The sequence below is a fragment of the Homo sapiens genome, chromosome 7, assembly GCF_000001405.40.
Source record: "Homo sapiens chromosome 7, GRCh38.p14 Primary Assembly".
NCBI lineage: Eukaryota > Metazoa > Chordata > Mammalia > Primates > Hominidae > Homo > Homo sapiens.
In genome coordinates this window covers 153,785,525-153,809,704 of record NC_000007.14, presented here as the reverse complement: position 1 = coordinate 153,809,704, position 24,180 = coordinate 153,785,525, and the positions used below count along the sequence as shown (strand labels likewise).

The following is a 24,180-nucleotide window of genomic DNA, read 5'->3' as shown; positions in this document are numbered from 1 at the left end:
TTTCTGGTGCTGCTCCATGCTCTCTACCAGCAAGTCATTATATTTAGGTGATCACATTATCTTTAGGAACTACAATTTCCTGAGTTCCACCAACACTGCACCAAGGAAAGGGCTGCAAGCTCCTCCAACTCAAACATTCTAGGTAGGAAGCATAGATGAAGAGTAGAATGGGGAGGAATTACGGAAGTGTTACCACTGAGCATTCACAAGACTACGAACTGCTTGCGGGAAAACATCAAGCCACATTTGTCTATCCATTCAGTCATCAATCCCGCTTTGAGCATCTGTCCATGCTAGGCACAGCGCTGGGTCACAGGGATGAGCAGACATGATGTAGAACTGAGCAAAGGCTAACACGTGGTAGGGGTGGGGACACAGAAACTTTAAGGCACTGAAAAGCAGAGAATTAATATCCAAAGAGAAGAAGGAACTCCTACAACTCAATAGTAAAGAATCAAATAACCCAAGTAAAACAATAGGCAAAGGGCCTGAATAGACATTTCTTCCAAAGAAGACATACGGAGATGCAACAGGTGTATATTAAGGTGCTCAGCACCACTAATCATCAGGGAAACGCAAATCAAAACTGCAATGTGACATCACTTCACCCGTTAGGATGTTTATTATTAAAAGATCAAAATATAATGAGTGTTGGTGGGGACGTGAAGAAAAGGGAAAAACTGCATGCTGTTGGTGGGACTGCAAATTGTTATAGTCATTATGGAAAGTAGTATGGAGGTTCCACAAAAAAATAAAAATCAAAATAGAACTGCCATATGATCTAGCAATTCCACTTCTGGGTGTACGTTAAAAAATAAAATGAAATCATTATCTCAAAGAGATAACTGCACTCCCATGCTCACTGCACTATTATTCACAATAATCAAGATACAGATGCAACTTAAGAATCCATTGATAGATGAAGAAATTGTAGTAACTATCAAATGAAATGTTATTCAGCTTTAAAAAAAGAATGAAATCCTGCTATTTACAAGAATACGAACATTATACCAAGTGAAATAACCCAGGCACAGAAAGATAAACACTGCATGATCTTACTTACTTGTGAAATCTAAAAAGGTGGACTCATAGAAATAGAGTAGAACAGTAGTTGAGGACGGGTGATCTTGGTCAAAGGTTACAACCTTTCAGATAGAAGCTGAATAAGCTCTGCAGATCTAATGTATATAACACTGTATTGTGTACTTGGAATTTGCTGAGAGCAGATCTTAAATGTTCTCATCACACATACACACACACACGCACACACACAGTCACACACACAGACACACATACAGGCACACACACAGGCACACACGCACACACAGGCACACATACAGGCATGCCCACACACACACGTGCAAACACATATGCACACAGACACACACAGGCACACATGTGCGCAGACACACACACAGGCACACACGTGCGCACACACAGGCACACACGCACGCACGTGCACACACGCACACTCAGGCACGCACACTCAGGCACACACACTCAGGCACACACACACACAGTGGCAACAAGGTTAGGATGGGTATGTCCCTTAGCTTGATCGTGGTGATCATTTCACAATGTGTTTATCAAAACACCATATCGCTCACCCTAAATATACACAATTTTTATTTGTCATACGTTAACAAAGCTGGAAAAAAATATCAAAAAGAAAGGAGCCAGTGGGAAGCCTGTTCAGAAGGAGCTCTGCTTCCTGCAGGCTGCCACCTGGAGAAACACTTCTTCCCAGGATGGGCTTGGTATGTCTTCATTTCAGGCCACGCTGCCTCTGTCCAGATTAACAGATGTTTTCTCTTGCACTTCATCCCTCCCCCACAGCTTCCAGGTAGAGGCTTCTTTCAAGCCACAAGATCGATTCGTCGTGGAAGGAATCAATACTGGTGTTTGGAAATGAAAAGTAGGCAAAGGCGGAAGGTATTTAGCTTTGGCGGACAACGTCTCTGTCTAAATTCTCCCTCCTCCTGCAGCTGAGCTGGAAACATCCAGATTGGAACCCATGCTCAGTCTCAGGGCATTTAAGGAATAATTCATCACAACATTCCACCCGAGCCCCGCCAAAACCTCAGATAACTGACATTTCCTTTGTTGTAAACTTTCAGGAAAGAGTGGCACATCTCCAAGGAAGCAAGCTGATTTGGGGGACTCACCCTGGACACTTTATTTTTCTACGATGCCTTGCATTTACTGCATGTCCTGTGAAATCTCCAAAACCCTATTCATATTATTCATATGCTTCTATGGTCTTTGTTTTTTTTTTTGTTTGTTTGTTTGTTTGTTTGAGATGGAGTCTCGCTCTGTGGCCCAGGCTCACAGATCTCGGCTGTGGCACGATCTCGGCTCACTGCAACCTCCACCTCCCTGGTTCAAGCGATTCTCCTGCCTCAGCCTACCAAGTAGCTGGGCCTGCCACCATGCCTGGCTAATTTTTGTATTTTTAGTAGAGACGGGGTTTCACCATGTTGGCCAGGCTGGTCTTGAACTCCTGACCTCAGGTGATGTGCCCGCCTCAGCCTCCCAAAGTGCTGGGGTTACAGGTGTGAGCCACTGCACCCAGCCTAAGGCAAGAAATATTAATGCATTCTAATCTCTAACAGAATTTTCAGTTTTCTAAATTTTACCTATAATTTATTGAAGTTTACTTACTGAGACAAATGAAAAAGGATTCTGCAATTCGATAAAGAATTTTAGTAAAAAAGAAGGGAATAAAAAAGGCCGGAGGGGTCCTTCAGTTAAATCATATTTAATAGTTGCAAATCTAATCCCTAGAACATTTTGGTAAATCAGATTTCCCTGGTAGTTTTTATTTGTACTCAAAAGAAACTCTTTCCTTTATTCTTTTTGCCCCTGCCTTTCCTCACCCCTTCTCTGAAACTAGGTCAACCTTCACCCACACAACAGCACTAGAACAAAGAGAAATGGGCATTCCTAAATGACCAGGGGCATCAATATACAACACTTTCAAAATGACAGAAAGGAGAAAATATGTTATGAGGAAAAGAAGATCTAGAGGCATTTTGATGTTTATATTTGCTACAGTTGTACAGGAATGATGAGACATGTAAGTAATAAAGACCATAAGCCATCATCCTTTATAAGCCACCAATTATATGGAAGGCATTATATAAGGATTGAAAAATGTATATATGAAATCTCATCCCTGAATTGCAGGAGCTTAGACTGAAGCTGGAAATTGAGTCTCACACCCACTGTACCTCCTTCACCTGTGTTCCTGGTGCCTTGAACAGGGACTGACCCAGAGAAGGCACCCTACAGATATTTGTCAAAGAAGTAAACCAATGAATTAATGTATGATTTATACATTAATTACAGGAGTATAAAGTGCTTAGAATTCAGAGAAGGCAGAGAAATTACATCTGGATAGGGGACTTCCATGAGGGTCCCATGGTGGAGGAGCTGGGAACAGAGACTCTGTAAGATTTAAAAGGGGAGATAAGGTGGTCAGTGAGCCAGGTGTCAGGGCAGGACTCTGGCTGAATGGACAGGAGTGACCAGAGGCAGGGAGGGCTCATTTCTCCCTGTCCCCAAAGGCACCTTAATGTTCTGATCATGAAAAATGGTCCTGAGCTGCCAAACACTTCATTCTTCCTGACGTCAGATATGTGATCTTCCCTCAGCCAGATGAAACGAGGGAGGAAAGTATTTATATATATATGTATTTTTTTTTATTATACTTTAAGTTCTAGGGTACATGTGCACAACATGCAGGTTTGTTACATATGCATACATGTGCCATGTTGGTGTGCTGCACCCAGTAACTCGTCATTTACATTAGGTATATCTCCTAATGCTATCCCTCCGCCAGTCCCCCACCCCACGACAGGCCCCAGTGTGTGATGTTCCCCTTCCTGTGTCCAAGTGTTCTCATTGTTCAATTCCCACATATGAGTGAGAACATGCAGTGTTTGGTTTTTTGTCCTTGCGGTAGTTTGCTGAGAATGATGGTTTCCAGCTTTATCCATGTCCCTACAAAGGACATGAACTTATGATTTTTATGGCTGCATAGTATTCCATGGTGCATGTGTGCCACATTTTTGTAATCCAGTCTATCATTGTTGGACATTTGGGCTAGAAATACCATTTGACCCAGCCATCCCATTACTGGGTATATACCCAAAGGAATATAAATCATGCTGCTATAAAGACACATGCACATGTATGTTTATTGCAGCACTACTCACAATAGTAAAGACTTGGGAGGAAAGTATTTTAAACAAACGTTGCCACTCTTTCAAAACTTAACCCAAGATTACCTTCCTTGGGACGTCTGACTTGGATGCATTCTAAGAGTGTTCCAACAACAACAACTGCTATTATTTCCTGAGGCTTACTCTCTGCGGGGCCCTTGGACTAACAATAACAAAGTCAACAGGTTATAAACAACAAAATACATCAGTCATATACTATATTTTATCAAGTCTAAAATGTCATTGACTGTAATAAAGACCATTGCTTCCTATACCAATGAAAAAGAAACAACATTTTGGCACTTAAAATTTGAAATATTAATTTTTACTTAAGTCCTTATTTCATTAAAATAACCCTTTGTGTCTACTGATGATTTTTGCCACATATCAATTTTGTTAATAAGCTGAAAGGAAAATACAAATGAAATAAACTTGTTTCTGCATTCCTGAAATGTCTTCACATCCAGGGTTGGCTTTTCTGAATCACATTTCAACACCAATAGAGTCAAGATCATTTTTTTCCCAGTACAATGTCAGGATTGATGTCATTAACAGTGCTTAATTAATAGGTTGGTGCAAAGGTAATTTTTTTTTTTCTGAGATGAAGTCTCTCTCTGTTGCCCAGGCTGGAGTGCAATGGTGCAATCTCGGCTCACTGCAACCTCTGCCTCCAGGGTTCAAGCAATTCTCCTGCCTCAGCCTCCCGAGTAGCTGGGATTACAGGTGCCCACCACTACGCCCAGCTAATTTTAGTAAAGAGGGGATTTCACCATGTTGGCCAGGCTGGTCTCGAACTCCTGACCTTGTGATTCACCCACCTCAGTCTCCCAAAGTGCTGGGATTACAGGCATGAGCCAATGGGTCCAGCTGTAAGTTTTTAAATGGCAAAAACCTCAATTACTTTTGCACCATCCTAATATTTTTCTCATAAGCCTCTGACATCCATGCTACAGGTTTTGATGTATATCTACAAGCAATGGCAACAATATCATCACCTTTCCCTGACGATAGGGTTTGTAAAGATCCATCCTAATTCTAGAGATATTAAAATATAGAAAATTATCTCTACACTAAAATTGATGAATGACGGTACCATGAGTAGAGCAAGCTAGATATCAAAAGTACTAGTGGGTGGGGCACTGTGGCTCATGCCTGTAATCTCAGCACTTTGGGAGGCCAAGGCAGGTGGATCACCCGAGGTCAGGAGTTCGAGACCAGTCTGGCCAACATGGTGAAACCTCATCTCTACTAAAAATACAAACAAATTAGCTGGGTGTGGTGGTGCACACCTGTAATTCCAGCTACTCACGAGGCTGAGGCAGGAGAATTGCTTGAAATAGGGAGGCGGAGGTTGCAGCGAGTCGAGATCACACCACTGCACTCCAGCCTGAGCAACAGAGTAAGACTCAGTCTCAAAAAAAAAAAAAAGTACTAGGGATTATAGTGCAATTTCAGATAGAGGGTGGACAGGGAGGACCTCCTTGAAAAGTTAACATTTGAGCAAAGACTTGAAATTCTTGGGGAGTAAGGAGTACAGATATCTGGATAAAGAGTTTGTGTATTAGGGTCCTTCAAAGAAACAAAACCAATAGGAGAGGTACATATATCCTTGTGTGTATATATATATGTGTGTGTGTGTATGTACACATACACATTTATCTGTTTCTATATATACATATATATCCTTATCTGTTTGTGTATATCTCCATATATGTAAGTTTATATATAATTTATATAAAAGGAGATTTTACATATTGTATATCTAAGAGATATCTATATCTTTACATATATAATACATATATATATACACATATATATATGGAGATTTATTATGAGGAATAATCACATGATTAGGAGGCTGAGAAGTCCCAGAATCTGCCATCTGCAGACTGAAGAGGCAGGAAAGCCAGTGATATAATTCCGTATGAGTCCCAAGACTTGAGAACCAAGGAGACAGTGGCGTGAATCCGAGTCCAAGGGCTAGAGAAGATGAGGTGAAGCATCCCCGTTCAGGCAGGTAGGCAGGGGCAGAAAGGGGTGAATTCTTTCCTCTGCCTTTTGTTCTATTTGAGTCCGCCTCCATGGACTGAAAGATGCCCCAATGGATTGGGGAAGGCTCTCTGCTTTACTGAGTCCACGAATTCAAATGCTAATCCCATCTAGAAATGCCTTCACACACACACCCCAAAATAATGTTGAATCTGGGCATCCTGTATCCCACTCAGGTTGACACATTAAGTTAACCGTCACTGTTTGCATATGCCAGGGACAAGTGGATAAATATCCCAGGCTAGGGTATGCTGGCATCGTAGAAGAACATTGGGACGCCCACGTGTCTGGACCAAGCCAGTGTGGAGAAGGGGAGAGATGCGGGCACGCTGGTTACCAGGGCCTTGTGAGCTGTTGTTGGGCCAGGTCTACTCTGCATGAGAGACCATGCTCTCACAGACGTGGAACACAGCAGCAGTGAATCTGAAGCATGTTTTTCTAGGACCACCCTGCCTGCCTGCCGGGCTGAGCATATCAGAGGGTCGAGGAAGGAAGCAGACCAGTTCCAAGGCTGTGCAGTGATTGGGGCGAGGGTGTTTCAGCTGGACAAGACCACCACAGTGATGAAAAGTGGTCAGATCCTCGGTGTGTCCTCAAAGTAGAGCCACTGGGAGTCCCTGACACATTAAACATGCTTCTTTCCAAGTTCTTTAGAATAAAAAATAGGGGGCTTCTTTTTCAATGAGTGACACAAGTTTCAAACTTCAAAACAGGTTTTTCTTCAGAAGTAAGAATTATAATTTTATTTCCTTATGCATTTCCCGAATAGGCAAGGGAATTGGAGGCAGCAGCATCACAGAGATAAAATTCGAGTGCATTTTACAACATCAATAATTGAGTAAAGGAGTGTAATAACTTGTGCTGGAAGAGGGGTAATCAGATGTCATACTTCAGGCCAGGAGATGAGCTCATTTCAGAAATCAGCCAATATTTTGTTTGTTTCTTCTTTTTTATCATCTCTCAAATTTCTGGAATACAGACAGAATTCTTATTTGGAAATATTACTGTGTGAAAGTCTTAGTAACATTTCAGTATTTCAACAAGGAAGGCCCCTTAAATAAAGCTCAAGGTGACTCGTTATAGGGAGAATTCCCCACCAGTAGGCACAGGTGAGCGCTGGTTTTGGGATTGAGCTATTATTTCTTTTCACCTCATTTAACCCTCCTGGGGCCCCCTGTGTGGCAGATTGTTATTCCCTTGTCAGAGGTAAGGAAACAAAGTTTCTGGTGGCTTAGGCAACGTGCACAAATGGCATTTAGATTTAGGTGTGCCCCACTCCGAAAGCCAAGCTAATTTGGCACCATGGTGTGCCTGCTCCTGACCGAAACTTTCTGAGTTCCAGCTCAATGCAATTCAACATCTCGGCATTGCCACCACATAACCATCTGATCTCAGGCAAGTCACTTACACTTTTCATTTTGACTTTCCAAAGTTTGCTTCTGTGAATTTTCCCCTCTGTTTGAGACATGAGGAGATCAATATTTGCCCTGACTTCCTAGCAGAATTATTTTCTGTAAACAAAGTGATGTGCTAGATATGTGAGAAATTTAGAAACAGAGAAATCAGTATTGGAGAAGAAGAGTCCAGTTAACTTTTAATGAACCATGGCCAGTCTGAGAACAAGAGCTGCCTCAAGGGCTCTCTGAATTTTAATGCAGGACTTTTTGTTTATGTACTTTCTTGGGGAGAAGTTCCACGGTTTTCCACGTCCTCCAAAAAAGTTTAGCAATTGCCTTGAGCCATCTTGCAATTTCTTTTTTCTTTCTTCTCCCACCACAAATAGGCTCTGAGGCTCCTCTGTTGCCACTTAATAGCTTAGGGGTCTGTGTGGCTCTCAACAGTGTCCCAGCAGAGCGGCTGGAGTGGCCCCCTTTCCTGCCATCATCCACACAATCTACTCTGAGGATTTCCCTCTTGTGCAGTGCACAGCTGGGCAGCTTGACCAGTGACCCAGAGTCCATTCCCGCTCTCCCTCTACCGCTGTACACCTGCTGTCTTTAAGGCACAGGTCGAGGACTGATGAGGTTTGAAAGAACCCATAGGGTAATGAGGAACGTGGAGCATGTGCAAGGAGACCTGACATAGAATTTATGCCCTGCGTTGTGAGGATGGATGGTCATTTTTGACTTTCCAAAATTGACTTCCTTGATTCCTTCTCATGAGTGATAGATACATTTCTTTGGTGTTGAAACTGTGAAAACTGAAACACACATGATTTTTATAATTAGAAACTAGAACATTGTCTAAAAAATTGTGTGATGCACCCAAATATTAAGGTGATTAGATAAGCGCACACAGGGCTTTGAAATTCCGAAATGTGCTGCCTGTTCTGTGCCATTGGCCACTGATTGACTTTCTGCATTTGCTGCAGTTTATACATAAGCTCTACAAACAGCTTAAACTAAGCAATAGAAAATAATTTAAAAAATTGATATGTAATTGTATATATTCTTGAAGTACATGTGATGTTTTGATACTTGCATGCAACATGTAATGATCAAATCAGGGTAATTAGCATATCCATCACCTCAAACATACACCATTTCTTTGTGTTGGGGATACTTCAAATCATTTCTTCCAGCTATTTTGAAATATATAATAAAGTTTTGTTAACTGGGCTGGGTGCTGTGGCTCATGCCTGTAATCCCAGCACTTTGGGAGGCCAAGGAGGGTAGATCACTTGAGGTCAGGAGTTCAAGACCAGCCTGGCCAACATGGCGAAACCCCGTCTCTACTAAAAATACAAAAATTAGCCTGGCACGGTGGTGCATGCCTGTAGTCTCAGCTAGTTGGGAGGCTGAGGCAGGAGAGTGGCTTGAACCTGGGAGGTGGAGGTTGCAGTGAGCCGAGATGGTGCCGCTACATTCCAGCCTGGACAACAGAGTTAGATTCCATTAAAAAAAAGTTTCGTTAACTGTAGTCACTGTGCTGTTGAACATTAGAATGTAGTCCCTCATCTCATTGTATTTTTGCACCCATTAAGCAACCTCTCTTCATGTCCCCTCAACACCATTCCCAGCGTCTGTAACCAATATTCTACTCTTTGCCTTCATGAAATGAACTTTTTTAGCTCTTAAATATGAGTGAGACCATACAATATTTGTCTTTTTGTGCCCGGTTTATTTCAACTAACATGACAACCTATAGTTCCATGTGTGTTTCTGGAAATGACAGGATTTTATTCTATTTTATGGCTAACTAGTATTCCATTGTGTGTATATATATGGTATTTCTCTATCCATTCATTTGTTGATGGACACTTAGGTTGATGCCATATCTTGACTATTGAGAATAGTGCTGTAATAAAATGGGTGTGCAGATATCTCTTTGACATACCAATTTCTTTTGTTTTGGATATATTCCCAGCAGTGGGATTACAGGATCATATGACAGATCTATTTTTAGTTTTTGAGAACCCTCCATACTGTTGTCCACAGTGGCTGTGCTGTACTAATTTACCTTCCCACCAGAAGTGTACTAGCATTCCCCTTTCTGTGCATCTCTGCCAGATATGCTATTTTTTGTCTAAAAAGGAATACTTTAGGGTTCTTATAATATGCCTTGTTACTGTCACTTTTGATCTGTTTCATACAGCTCATGGTAAAATTGTATTAATAATTCTTATCTAAATTACAAATGCATAAATATTGGGATAATAGAATGAGACAGTTAATTCAGTCTCAAGAGTGTAAACACATTTTATTATAATTAATGATCACAGAAGAAAATATCTTTTTTAGAGGAAGTGGCAAATTTCAAACATTTTTGCAGAACTAAGCTTGCTACACACACATGGATGAGAAGTTTAAACTTCAATGAATTAATGAGGAAATGTTATGGGCTATAAAATGTAGAATCTGATGATCACTTCTTAGGTGATCAGGACAGCTGCAGTAGAGCGGGATGGTGTGTACATGGAGGCGGTGCAAGCTCTCCGGGAGCAGGGGCAGTGTCTGCTTTGTTCAGTCTGGAATCCACTGCCAGCACACAACAAACACTCAATAAATGCTCCCTCAAGGAAAAATGGGCGATTAGGAGCCACTCAGCTCAAAAATATGTCTTCATCGTACAAATTCCTTAGAAGTTATTTCTTTGCTTATAAGATTGAAGATGGGTATGGCTGACTAGTTCCATAAAAAATATATATATTTAGATAAATCAGTGAGTCTGAAAGATACCATGGAAGAGTCAAACAGAAATTTCTACTACATTCCATCAACTGTGAAGGTGAAGAATTTTTCTGTAGAAGAATTGAACATCTTCATTCATACCGTTGGCAGCTACCAGTAGCTATCAGTCTGTTTCATGCCCTAAAGCAGGGGTCCTTGACCCCCAGTACCAGTCCACGGCCTTGTCTAGGGCCGCACACCTCCTAGAGGAGGTGAGGGGTGGCCAAGTAAGCAAAGCTTCATCTGTATTTATAGCCACTCCCCATTGCTCACATTACTGCTGGAGCTCTGCCTCCTGTCAGATCAGCAGTGGCATTAGATTCTCATAGGAGCTGGAACTCTGTTGTGAACTACCCGTGTAAGGGATCTAGTCTGTGCACTCCTTATGAGAATCTAATACCTGATCCTTATGAGAATCTAATACCTGAAGATCTGTTGTCTTCCATCACCCCCCAGTGGGACTGTCTAATTGCAGGAAAACAAGCTCAGGGCTCCCACTGATTCTACATTATGGTGAGTTGTATAATTCTTTCATTTTATATTACAATGTAATAATAATAGAGATAAAGTGCACAGTAAGTGTAATGCACTTGAATCATCCCAAACCCATCACCTGCCACTCCATACCAGTCTGGTCCATGGAACAATTATCTTCAATGAAACCAGTCCCTGGTGCCAAAAATGTTGGGGACTGCTGCCTTAAGGAACACAATTTTACTTAGGGGTCCTCCACATCCCCTCGTAGCCAAGGGCCTCAGTGGAAGGGGCCCCATCTCCAGCCCCAAGTAGGTTGAATGAATCTCAGAGCCTTTGCCTGTGATTGCCGCTGGCATGTGCCTGAGGACTGGGCAGTGGGACAAGAAATAAAATCAGCTGGGGGATGGTAGAAGACATTTCTTTCTTCTAGGGAAAACCAAAGAACCAATATCTCTTCTTTGTCTAGCTGTTGGATGCTATGGGCTGAATTTCTGCATCCCCGAAACCTGCCTAAAATTTGTATATTGAATCCCTAACCTTCAATGCATTGGGAAGTGGGGCCTTTGGGAAGTAATTAGGTATAGACGAGGTCATGAAGGTGAGGCTCCCATGATGGGATTAGCGCCCTTCTAAGAAGATGGAGGGGGCTGGGCACGGTGGCTCACGCCTGTAATCCCAGCACTTTGGGAGGCCGAGGCGGGCGGATCAGGAGGTCAGGAGATCAAGACCATCCTGGCTAACATGGTGAAACCCCGTCTCTACCAAAAATACAAAAAAATTAGCTGGGCATGGTGACGGGCACCTGTAGTTACAGCTACTTGGGAGCCTGAGGCAGGAGAATGGCGTGAACCCAGAAGGCGGAGCTTATAGTGAGCCAAGATCTCGCCACCGCACTCCAGCTTGGGCGACAGAGCGAGACTCCATTTCAAAAGGAAGAAAAAAAAGAAGAAGAAGATGGAGGGACACCAGAGCTCCCTCTCTCTACCTTATGAGGATACACATGAGGTGGCCGCCTATAAGCCAGGAAGAAAGAATTCACCAAGAAGCATATCTGCTGGCACCTTGATCTTGGGTTTTCCAGCTTCCAGAACTGTGGGAAAAAAATGACTGCTGTTGAAGCCACCAGTCTGTGGTAGTTGGTTACAGCAACCCAAGCTAACACACTGGAAATTCAGGCTGAGTCAGCTTGCTAGAAGGCTGAGGATGAAGCCAATATTGAAATAGAAAGACACAACTGAGTCATTGAATCATATGAGCTTATTATTCTTCCTGTTTTTGACTTCCTCCTACAGTATATTATGAACTTTCTTGTTTTAGTCCAGTCTGAGTCAGAACTTTTGCATCATTGAGCTTAAGGCTTAATTAATATAATATCCTATTCCTCCTCCTTCTCCACACTCTCCATCCTTTTCTCCTTTCCTCCTCCCCTCTTTACTTTCCCCGTTTTCTTCTTCTCCTCTTCTTCCTTCATTTTTTACATCTGGTTGTTAGATAGTTCTTATTGTATAACAAATTACCCCCAAATTCAGTAGCTTAACACATCCCATAGTTTTTGTGGGCCAAGAATCGAGGTGTGGTTTAGTTTTATCCTGTGGCTCAGAGTCTCTTGAAAGCCTGTGATGAAAGTGTCAGCCAGAGATGCAGTCATCTCAGAGCTAAATGGGAATGATCCACTTTCAAGTTCCCTCATGTGACTGACGGCAGATCCCAGGCCCTTGGCAGTTGGTGTCATACACATTGTTCCTTGTCATGTGGGCCCCTCCACAGGGCAGCTTGCAACATGGCAGCCGGCTTCCCTTAGAATGAGTGAGAAAAAGAAAGAGGCAAAACAAGCCATAGTCTTCTTGTAACCCAGTTTTGAAGGTGGCATCTCTTCAACTCTGCCACGTTCTCTCTGCTAGAAGCAAGTCACTAAACCCAGTCCACACTCAAGTTGAGGAAACACACAGGGCTCCTGGGTATTTTACCCTCCTGGAATCCACATGTGATGATATACACGGAGTACTGCCAACTTAGGAAGCTGACCAGAGATTTTACTGTGGCTGCATTATGTAGGTATGATTGATTGTTTCATTGCTGGCCCATTGAACTCAGTCTCTAGGCCACCCACCCCCAGAGATCAGGTTGGTAACATGTGGCCTTTGTGCCACGTGTTATATTTTTAGCACAAATTATATTTGTAGCATAAAATACTAGGCATAGTCCCAGGGACCCACCGTAAATAACAAAAACACTCCTATCACTCAAGACATTTCAAGGGTTTAAAGGTTCACTTCCAGGAGCTGGAGACAAACACCAGGCTTCAATTTGGGCAAATCAAATCATTCACCAAACATCACATTAATATGGGTCATAAAAGAGCCAGAGGAGCACGTTAATATCAGATAAAGTAGATTTCAGAGCATATACTATTACCAGGGATACAGGGATCATTTCACAATGATATAGGTGTCAATCCCTCAAGAGAATATAATAACCCTAAATGTTTATGCACTTAATAGCAGAGCTTCAAACTACATGAAACAAAAACCGATAGATCTGCAAAGAGAAATGGAAAAATCTATCATTATAGCTATAGACTGTCATACCTCTCTCTCAATAATGGATAGAATAAGTAAACAGGGATGTAGAACACTAGAACAATAGGATCAACAAACCTGACCGACTTTTTATCACAGAGAACTCCAGCCAACAGCAGGAGAGCACACATCCTTCTCAGGTGTGCATGGATCACTCGCCACAGTAGACCCAATTCTGGGCCATGAAACAAGTCTCAATAAATTTAAAAGGGTTAAAGTCATGGGATGTATGTGATATGACTGTAATGAAAATAAATTAAACATTTATAACAGCAAGATCGCTGGAATATATCCAAATATTTGGAAACCAAATTATACCCCTTTAAATAATCTATATTTCAAAGAAGAAACAAAAAATGCAATCAAAGAAGAAATTTAAAAATTATAAAGAATTTTCAAGGGAATGAGAATAAAATCATACCACATTAATTTTGAGGGAGTCTTTTAAAGCAATTTTTAGAAGGAAATTTATTAAATGTCTACGTTAGAATAGAGCACAGGTTTCAAATCAACATCTTGGTTTCCATCTTAAGAAACTTAGAAAAAGAAAAGCAAATTAACATCAAAGGAAGTAGAAGAAAGGAAATAAAAGTTCAGGGTGGAAATTAATAAACTAGAAATTAGGAAAATAATGGAGAAAATAAATAAAACCAAAAGCTAGTTCTTTGAGAAGATCCATAAAATTAATAAAGTTCTAACCAAACTAAGCAGAGAAAATAGGTAAGACACAGCTTACAAATATTAAAAATAAAAGAGGTGGCATCACTATAGATTCTATTCTTTCTTTCTTTATTTTGAGATAGTCTCACTCTGTTGCCAGGCTGCAGTGCAGTGGCGCAATCCTAGCTCACTGCAACCTCCACCTCCTGGATTCAAGCAGTTCCCCTGCCTCAGCCTCCTGAGTAGATGGGACTAAAGTCATGTGCCACCACACCTGGCTAATTTTTCGTATTTTAGTAGAGACGGGGTTGCACCATGTTGGCCAGGATGGTCTCGATCTCCTGACCTCGTGATCCACCCACCTCGGCCTGCCAAAGTGCTAGGATTACAGGCGTAAGCCACTGCACCGGCCAGATTCTATAAATATTAAAAGGGTAATAAGAGAATATTAAGAAAATTTTAAGGGCACCTGACCTTCATGTGCCTGCTTGAGTCTCTTCCAAATGTACTTGTATTAGTCCATTTTCACGCTGCTGATAAAGACATACCCAAGACTAGGAAGAAAAGGAGGTTTAATTGGACTTATAGTTCCACATAGCTGGGGAGGCCTCAGAATCATGGCAGGAGGTGAAAGGCACTTCTTACATGATGGCGGCGAGAGAAAATGAGGAAAAAGCAAACGTGGAAACCCCTGATAAACCCATCAGATCTCACAAGACTTATTCACTATTATGAGAATAGCATGGGAAACACCAGTCCCCATGATTTAATTACCTCCTCCTGGGTCCCTCCTACAACATATGGAAATTCTGAGAGATACAATTCAAGTTGAGATTTGGGTGGGGACAGAGCCGAACCATATCATTCCATCCCTGGCCCTTTCAAATCTCATGTCCTCACATATCAAAACCAATCATGCCTTCCCAACAGTCCCCCAAAGTCTTAATTCATTTCAGTATTAACCCAAAAGTCCACAGTCCAAAGTCTCATCTGAGACAAGACAAGTCCCTACCGCCTGTAAGCCTATAAAATCAAAAGTAAGCTAGTTAACTTCCTAGATACAATGGAGGTATCAGTATTGGGTAAATATAGCTGTTCCAAATGGGAGAAATTGGCTGAAAGAAAGTGGTTACAAGGCCCATGCAAGTCTGAAATCCAGCAGGGCAGTCAAATTTTAGGGCTCCAAAATGATCTCCTTTGACTCCCTGTCTCACATCCAGGTCACGCTGATGCAAGAGGTGGGTTCCCATGGTCTTGGGCAGCTCCACTCCTGTCGCTTTGCAGGGTACAGCCTCCATCCCAGCTGCTTTCACAGGCTGGCACTGAGTGTCTGCAGCTTTTCCAGGTGAACGGTGCAAGCTGTTGGTGGATCTACCATTCTAGGGTCTGGAGGACAGTGGCCCTCTTCTCACAGCTCCACTGGGAGGTGCCCTAGTAGGGACTCTGTGTGGGGGCTCCGATCCCACATTTCCGTCTGCACTGCCCTAGCAGAGGTTCTACATGAGTGCCCTGCTCCTGCAGCAAACTTCTGTCTGGGCATCCAGGCATTTCCATACATGTTCTGAAATCTAGGTGGAGGTTCCCAAACCCAAGTTCTTGACTATTGTGCACCTGCCGGCTCAACACCAAGTGGAAGCTGCCAAGGCTTGGGGCTTACACCTTCTGAGGCTACGGCCCGAGTTCTACATTGGCCCCTTTCAGCCATGGCTGGAGTAACTGGGACACAGGGCACCAAGTCCCTAGGCTGCACACAGTACAGGGACCCTTTTCTTCTAGGTCTCTGGGCCTGTGATGGGAGGAAGTGGCCCAGGAAACCATTTTCTTCTAGGCCTCTGGACCTGTGATGAGAGGGGCTACCATGAAGACCTCTGATGTGGCCTGGAGACATTTTCCCCATTGTCCTGGGGATTAACATTTGGTTCCTCATTACTTATGCACATTTCTGCAGCCAGCTTGCAGAAAATAGGTGTTTCTTTTCTATCACATTGTCGGGCTGCAAATTTTCTGAACTTTTATGCTCTGCTTCCCTTATAAAACTGAATGTCTTTAACAGCACCCAAGTTACCTCTTGAATGTTTTGCTGCTTAGAAATTTCTTCTGCCAGATACCCTAAATCATCTCTCTCAAGTTCAAAGTTTCACAAATCCCTAGGGCAGGGGCAAAATGCCACCAGTCTCTTTGCTAAAACACAACAAGAGTCACCTTTGCTCCAGTTCCCAACAAGTTCCTCATCACCATCTGAGACCACCTCAGCTAGAACCTTATTGTCCATATTGCTATCAGGCTTTTGGTCAAAGCCATTCAGCAAGTCTCTAGGAAGCTGCAAACTTTCCCACATTTTCCTGTCTTCTTCTGAGCCCTCCAAACTGTTCCAACCTCTGCCTCTTACCCAGTTCCAATGTCACTTCCACATTTTCAGGTATCTTTTCAGCAATGCCCCAATGTACTGGTATCAATTTACCGCATTAGTTTGTTTTCATGCTGCTGATAAAGACACACCCAAGACTAGGAAGAAAAAGAAGTTTAACTGGACTTATTGTTTCACATGGCTGGCGGGAGGCCTCAGAATCATGGTGGGAGGTGAAAGTCACTTCTTACATGGCGGTGGCAAGAGAAAATGAGGAAGAAGCAAAAGCAGAAACCCCTGATAAACCCATCAGATCTTGTGAGACTTATTCATTATCATGAGAATAGCATGGGAAAGACTGGCCCCCATGATTCAGTTACCTCCCCCTGGGTCCCTCCCACAACACATGGGACTTCTGGGAGATACAATTCAAGTTGAGATTTGGGTGGGGACACAGCCAGACAATATCAGTGCTTTTCTTTTTGTCCTGTTCTAAAGCCTTTTAAAATAAACTTCCAATCCTGCTCTGAAAAAAAAAAAGAACAACTTTAAGAACAAGTCTGTGACAAAATTCAACAATTTCAACAAAGTGGACAAATTTGTTGAAAGACAAACACTGACAAAATTCACTCAATAAGAAATGTATATTTGAGTAGCCTTACATCTATTAGAGAAATTGAATTTGTTGCTAAAAAAGCCTTTTCACAAAGAAAACTACAGGCCCAAATGGCTTCAATGGTGAATTTCCCTAAGCACTTAAGAAATAAATATTACCAATTCTACACAAAGTCTTCCAGTCAAACTATTGCTGAAACTAAACAACTAAATAATGTTATTGGGTCAGAATACTTATTATTGTTAAGATGTTGATTCTCTCCAAATTGATCAGTAGATTCAACCTAATTCCCATCTAAGTCCTAGAAGATATTTTTGTAGAAATTGATGAGGTGATTCTAAAATTCATATGGAAATGGAAATGAAGAGGATGTGGAACAACAGTGAACATCAACATAGGAACATCTCACAAAGTTACTGTAGTGTGAAAGAAGCAAATAATGAAAGAATAAAGTATGATTCTAGCAATTTAAAGTTTATAAATAAGAGTAGTATGTGCATGTGTCTGTGTGTACAATAAAAATATTAGGGAAATCCTTATCACAAAAGACAAGATAATAGATTTCTCTCTGGGGAAAGACTCCTTGAACAGCACTGTTTGTGGAGAGCACATGGGCAAACCCAGAATTTTCCTGGTAAACAGATCCTCAGTCTGCCATTCAGACTGGAGATACACATGGTCCCCACCTTAAAATCACTTGGTACAAATAATGTCTACACAGAAATAGCCTTGTCTCCCTCTCATTTGTATTCACAGCTTCTTCATGACCTCTGTCTTAATTTCAGTTATATTATAGGACTAAGTAGGCTTCTGTCTGCTCTTATAAGAACCAAATTATTATATATAGCATTGAAAATGAGTTTTTAGCTGGACGCAGTGGCTCATGCCTGTAATCCCAGCACCTTGGGATGCCAAGGCGGGTTGATCACCTGAGGTCAGGAGTTCGAGACCAGTCTGACCAACATGGTGAAACCGGGTCTCTACTAAAATACAAAATTAGCTGGATGTGGTGGTGGGCACCTGTAATCCTAGCTATACGGGAGGCTGAGGCAGGAGAATAGCTTGAACCACCTGGGAGGCAGAGGTTGCAGTGAGCCAAGATCCTGCCATTGCACTCCAGCCTGGGAAACAATGAGACTCCATCTGAAAAAAAAAAAAAAGAAAGGAAGGAAGGAAGGAAGGCAGGAAGGGAAAGAAAAGAAAATCAGTTTTCAAACTCAGAGCTTCCTGGAGATGTGAATAGGTATGGATTTGTGCACTGCACTGCAAAAATCTATCGATAAGATTAAGTCCCTTTGCCATAAAACAAAGTGTCAGTGACATTGCATGGAACGCTCTCAGGTGGAACACTAATAACATGATATAGACGTAGTCAGTCTTTTCTAACTTCTAATTAGTATACTACGTTAAGAGTATCAATGAAACCCCAACAAAAATACACGGCAACAAAACACATATAATTTCCCAAAATATTTCTGAGCCTTTTATAACAAATTAACTTGGCACAAAGATGAATAAAAGATTGTCTATAATAATGAACAGAACTGCATTCCACTATATCATGAAAAGTCAAACCACATGATTTCTCTTTTTCAATTTCTTGAGGCCTTTCTTTATCTCCTCGGGTCTTCCAAAATGACTAGTTGCTCCGTAGAAATGAACTCAAGGATTTGTTCACCAGACACCTTTGTTAGGAAAGCTCTTTGAGATTCCAAAATACTCTTCCGCCATTTCCTTCTCCATCTTCCTTCAAAAAGCCTTCCTCTAATTAAGTGATTACAGCTGAGCTTTATAACACTATGAGGAGAAATAAGTCACTCTTCTGTCTTTTACAAAAATGGACACGACAGATCATGTTTTCAATATTCTTTTGTTCACATACTTTACATTCTTCTGAATACCTCTCCGGCTGTTTCATGTATATCATCAAATCACGATTATGAGGAAGGACTAATGTCAGTATCAACGGAAACATTTTACAACAGAAAGAGCAAGCTTTAGGCATTCAATATTTGCTAACCTAATGTTTACTGAAGTTTTCAGCAAACCTTATGAAGTCTTCTCTTAGGAGACTTAAAGCCAAATACAATTAAACTAATGGAGCCACAGGAAACTCGGGGATCTTATTGAATTCAATAATAAAGATGCTTTTAAAAACATGTCATATAATTGCCAGTTTATACTTTTTAATAATTATATAGCACAATGACAGAAATTTATTTTATAAAAATTAGTTACTGAAATTATTTGTTCATTTAGTAGTTATTTTTCCCATCCTACTTGGATAATATCCCTAGAGGTCAACACAAATTCTCTAGATGCTCCTATATTTTAACATAGCTTCAGTTGACCTTTGAAGATTATATATTGTCTCCAAGATCTTTTAAAGTTGTAGAGAACTGAAAGCACACCCGGACTTTTAAGAGCAAACATATTTTCAGTCATAGTTTTTATTACCTCATTTATTTTATAAAAAATAGTTACTGAAATTTATAAAAGTTAGTTACTGAAATTATTCATTTTGTAGTTAACTTATTTTTAGTTCATAAAAATTAGTTACTTAAATTATTTATTCATTTTGTAGTTAACTAATTTTTTCCATCCGACTCAGATAATATCCCTAGAGGTCAACCCAAATTCTCTAGATACTCCTGTATTTTACCATAGATCCAGCTGACCTTTGAAGAAGATTATATATTGTCTCTAAGATCTTCCCTAAGTTATAGAGAAATGAATGTACACCCGTCCTTTTAAAAGTAAACATCCTTAATGATAGTTGCCACTACCTCATTCCATGTCATAACAAAGGCAATTATGTTGACAATACAGTGGTAAAAGTCCCAGTTCCAGTATGAAAACACTTCCTCATTATTTCTACTTCAAAACTTTATAATTTTCTAAGGTGTGATATCTCTGTTAATTAAGGTGATTTTCTTCTTTCTCTCATCAATACAAAAGCTTCTCACTTATTATTCATTATACCATTACTTTGTAGTCTAGCATCCAGCTGTGCCTGTACATTTTATATGCAAGTGCTTCTTGCTTAAGAATAGCTTCTGATTGTCTTATTTCTCATAAATCCAGTGTTATTTGCCATAGGTAGATAAAAACATCTGACTACCTCATTAGGTATTCAGGTATGGTTGTGCAAAGTCATTTTCATAATGAATAAATACTGATATATTTTTATGTATCTGTCATATTGTAGATAGACAATTACATTGATTCTTGAAAATTATATATGTAGGTAGCTTTATTATCCATCAATTTTATTTAAGGATAATAAAGGGGACATTACAAATTATGTTTCTTCTTGGATTGGATCTAAGATAACATTGATTATGAGACACAACAAATTTTATGTTATAACATTTACAAAAACACACTGCAATTAAATTAGGACACAATGCCTTATCACCACTTGAAATTTTGGACACAACATCATCTTCCAAGCCAGCAAGAGCATTAGTGATACAGCATTTCTGAAAGGCTGCTCCACTACTGACACCTCGATTTTCTTCCAAGAGCCAGCAATAATTTTGGCAGTTTCTTGGTCTTACTGGAGGTGTCCATGGAAGATTTTCAGGTAACAAACAGGAATACTTTTTTTTTTTTTTTTGAGACAGACTTTCGCTCATGTTGCCCAGGCTGGAGTACAGAGGCACGATCTCATCTCACTCCAACCTCTGCCTCCTGGGTTCAAGCAATTCTCCTGCCTCAGCCTCCCGACTAGCTGGAATTACAGGCATCTACCACCATGCCTGGCTAATGTTTTGTATTTTTAGTAGAGACAGGGTTTCACCATATTGGTCAGGCTGGTCTCGAACTCCTGACCTCAGGTGATCCATCCGCCTTGGCCTCCCAAAATACTGAGATTACAGGCGTGAGCCACTGCACTCTGCCAGGAACACATTTTTAATATGAGTTGAGACCCATACACATGTAGTTACCACAATCTACTGCCCTTAAAGTTATGGCAGTATGAACTCCTTTGACTAGGTACAAACATGTACAGTCAATGACAACTGTGTCACACCAGCCAATGTGGACTGTGAGATGCCATCGATTGTATAATTTTATGTTAAAATGTCAACCAATGAATTGTGGCATTGCATAAAGTGGGCAATGAAACTGATAAGTTTTTGAGCCACTGAGCTAATCGAATTCTTTTTATCTAACTCTTTCTTCAGTGAAACTTTTGCACGTATGAGTAACTGTTCAGAAAGTCTACAGACGACTTAATTTTGAACAGGTCATTCAGTTGGCAGCAGCAGACTACAGTTTACCAAATGCTACAGAAGGCCAGTGGATCTGTGCCTCCAGATTCAAACAAATTCTTCTGGGGACTTTTCTGGCACATGGCTGGATGTGTCCCAAAATGTAGAAAGAAATCTTTTTTTCCCAAACCAGTCTACAAGCTTTAATACAGTCATTGACTATATTGAGGTTTTCAGATTTAATGTCTACAAAATAACCTAGAATATTATGAAAATATTCTCCATGTCTTGAAGAACTTAGAATTTCTCTTTCCTTTTATAAAAGAAAATCTGATGAAGGTAGAGATGATTTATTGCCTTGAGTCTAGCCAGTCTGATGAGGACCAGTCCCGAACCATTAATGTGTGAATAATATATTTCTCCTTCAACTGCTCTACCTTCTAAGGTGTCCACTAGAGGTTCCCGTAAGAAATACCCTTTCAGTTAAGATCCTTCCAGAAAGATAGACACAACAGGAAAAAAAAAAAAAAGAAATTGTAAATCACTATTAAAATCAATGCCTACATAAACCACAGTAAACCAGCTTTTCTTTTTTTCTTATTTTATTTTTATTGTTTTAGAGACAAGTTCTCACCGAGACTGAAGTCATGACTCACTACAGCCTTAACCTCCTGGACTCAATCAATTCTCCCACCTTAGCCTCCCAAGTAGCTAGACTAGAGGGGCGTACCACCACACATGGCTACAATTTTATTTTTTATTTTTGTAGAGGCAGGGATCTCGCTATGTTGCCCAGACTGGTCTTCAATTCCTGGCCTCAAGAAATCCTCCCTGCTTGGCCTACCAAAGTGCTGGGATTAGAGCTAGGCATAAGCCACTGTGCTGGGACTCTGATGGGATTTTTACATGTTAATGTATAATTATTAAAGAAAAATAAAATGCTTTTCTTAACCACATTGCAGGTACAAAGAACAGCATCTCTGGAGAACGACTGTTAGGGTTTAGATATTATACTGCTGCCTTTTTTTCTTATTATGATAAATATCTGTTTACAAGCATTTTAATATTTACCAAATTACTTTTTTCAAGACACATTTCTTAAAATGGAAATCTTCCGTGGCCGGGCGCAGTGGCTCATGCCTGTAATCCCAGCACTTTGGGAGGCCGAGGCGGGTGGATCACGAGGTTAGGAGATCAAGATCATCCTGGCTAACACGGTGAAACCCCATCTCTACTAAAAATACAAAAATTAGCCGGGCGTGGTCGTGGGCACCTGTAGTCCCAGCTACTTGGGAGGCTGAGGCAGGAGAATGGCGTGAACCCGGGAAGCGGAGCTTGCAGTGAACTGAGATCGCACCACTGCACTCCAGCCCGGGCGACAGAGCGAGAGTCCATATTAAAAAACAAAAACAAAAACAAAAAAAAGGAAATCTTCCCCTTCCTATGTTTTTTTACATAAAGTGCTAAATTCATTTCTAGAATGTTTGCCATTTTTTTACTTCCCTGACCAGTAGTGAGACTTTGTTTCTTATGCTGACCAGAATATTAGTATACATATAAAAAGAATGATTTGCCCAAGCTGATGGGCCAAAATAGTAGTATATCTTTTTTTTTTTTTTTTTTTTTTCTGAGACGGAGTCTCGCTCTGTCGCCCAGGCTGGAGTGCAGTGGCGCGGTCTCGGCTCACTGCAAGCTCCGCCTCCCGGGTTCACGCCATTCTCCTGCCTCAGCCTCCCGAGTAGCTGGGACTACAGGTGCGCGCCACCACGCCCGGCTAATTTTTTTGTATTTTCAGTAGAGACGGGGTTTCACGTGTTAGCCAGGATGGTCTCGATCTCCTGACCTCGTGATCCGCCCGCCTCGGCCTCCCAAAGTGCTGGGATTACAGGCGTGAGCCACTGTGCCCGGCCAGTAGTATACCATTTTAATGTATATTATTTTAATTACTAGGGATGTGAACATTTTTATAGTGTTCTTGTCACCTGAAGTATTGTTTTGTGAATTTATGTTATTTGCATGCTTCCACGTGGTCATATTTGATATGCAATCCCTCATTTACTTACATTAATGTTTTAACTAGTATTTCTAGTCAGATGTCAGATGTCATTAAAACCACCAACAGAAGGGTTAATATATAAGCAGATTGAAATATAAATATTGTAAAAGAGAAATAAAAATGATGTAAATGACTAGCAAGAACTCTCAAAAGAACCATCTGAAAACCTATTAGTCATGGTCTAAGTCAGCTCAGTACATGGCCAATTATAAAATAAATGCACAAAAGACAATGCTGTCCTAGCAAATGTATCCAGCAGATAAAATATGTCGGTCTTAGCAAACATAAGCAGTAGATAAACTATTACATTTGAAATAACAAATATTTAAACACTTGGCTCCTATACATTTGTTATTTATTTCCATTAGAAGAAAATATTCAGGTTCTACTATTCGACTGAAGATAGAAAAAAAAAAAACAGTTTTAAAAATAAAAAGACAGGCTGGGCAACATAGCAGGAGCCCATCTCTAAAAACGAAAAAAGGAAAACTTAGCTAGGCTTGGTAGCACACACACCAGTAGTCCCAGGTACTAGGGAGGCTGAAGTGGAAGGATTACAATTGGTTGAGACCAGGATTCAAAGGTACAGTGACCTTAGGTGGCATCACTGCACTCCAGCCCAGCCTGGGCAACAGAGCAAGACACTGTCTCAGAAAAAAAAGTATATATATAGTACCCATTTCCCAATGAGGGAACTCAAAATTGATTTGTGGGGCACTACCATCATAAAATTAAAGAGGAAATATTTTACAAATTTTAAAAAATATAGCATAGTAAATTCGGAAAA

General features: G+C 40.9%; 1 protein-coding gene across 5 annotated transcripts in view, besides 1 other annotated feature; it reads right to left on the bottom strand.

Moving 5' to 3' along the window:
• DPP6 (dipeptidyl peptidase like 6) overlaps positions 1-24,180 on the bottom strand; it is a 1,146,153-nt gene that overhangs the window by 1,084,581 nt on the left and 37,392 nt on the right. The gene's annotated exons all lie outside the window — the stretch shown is intronic.
• Positions 4,969-5,159: a silencer, noted in NCBI's record as "fragment chr7:153501631-153501821 (GRCh37/hg19 assembly coordinates)". NCBI's record gives its function as "represses an EF-1alpha promoter that drives an FKBP-Casp9 reporter gene in an ReSE screen in phorbol 12-myristate 13-acetate-treated (for megakaryocytic differentiation) K562 erythroleukemia cells {active_cell/tissue: K562(+PMA)}" and the evidence as "EXISTENCE:reporter gene assay evidence [ECO:0000049][PMID:32094911]".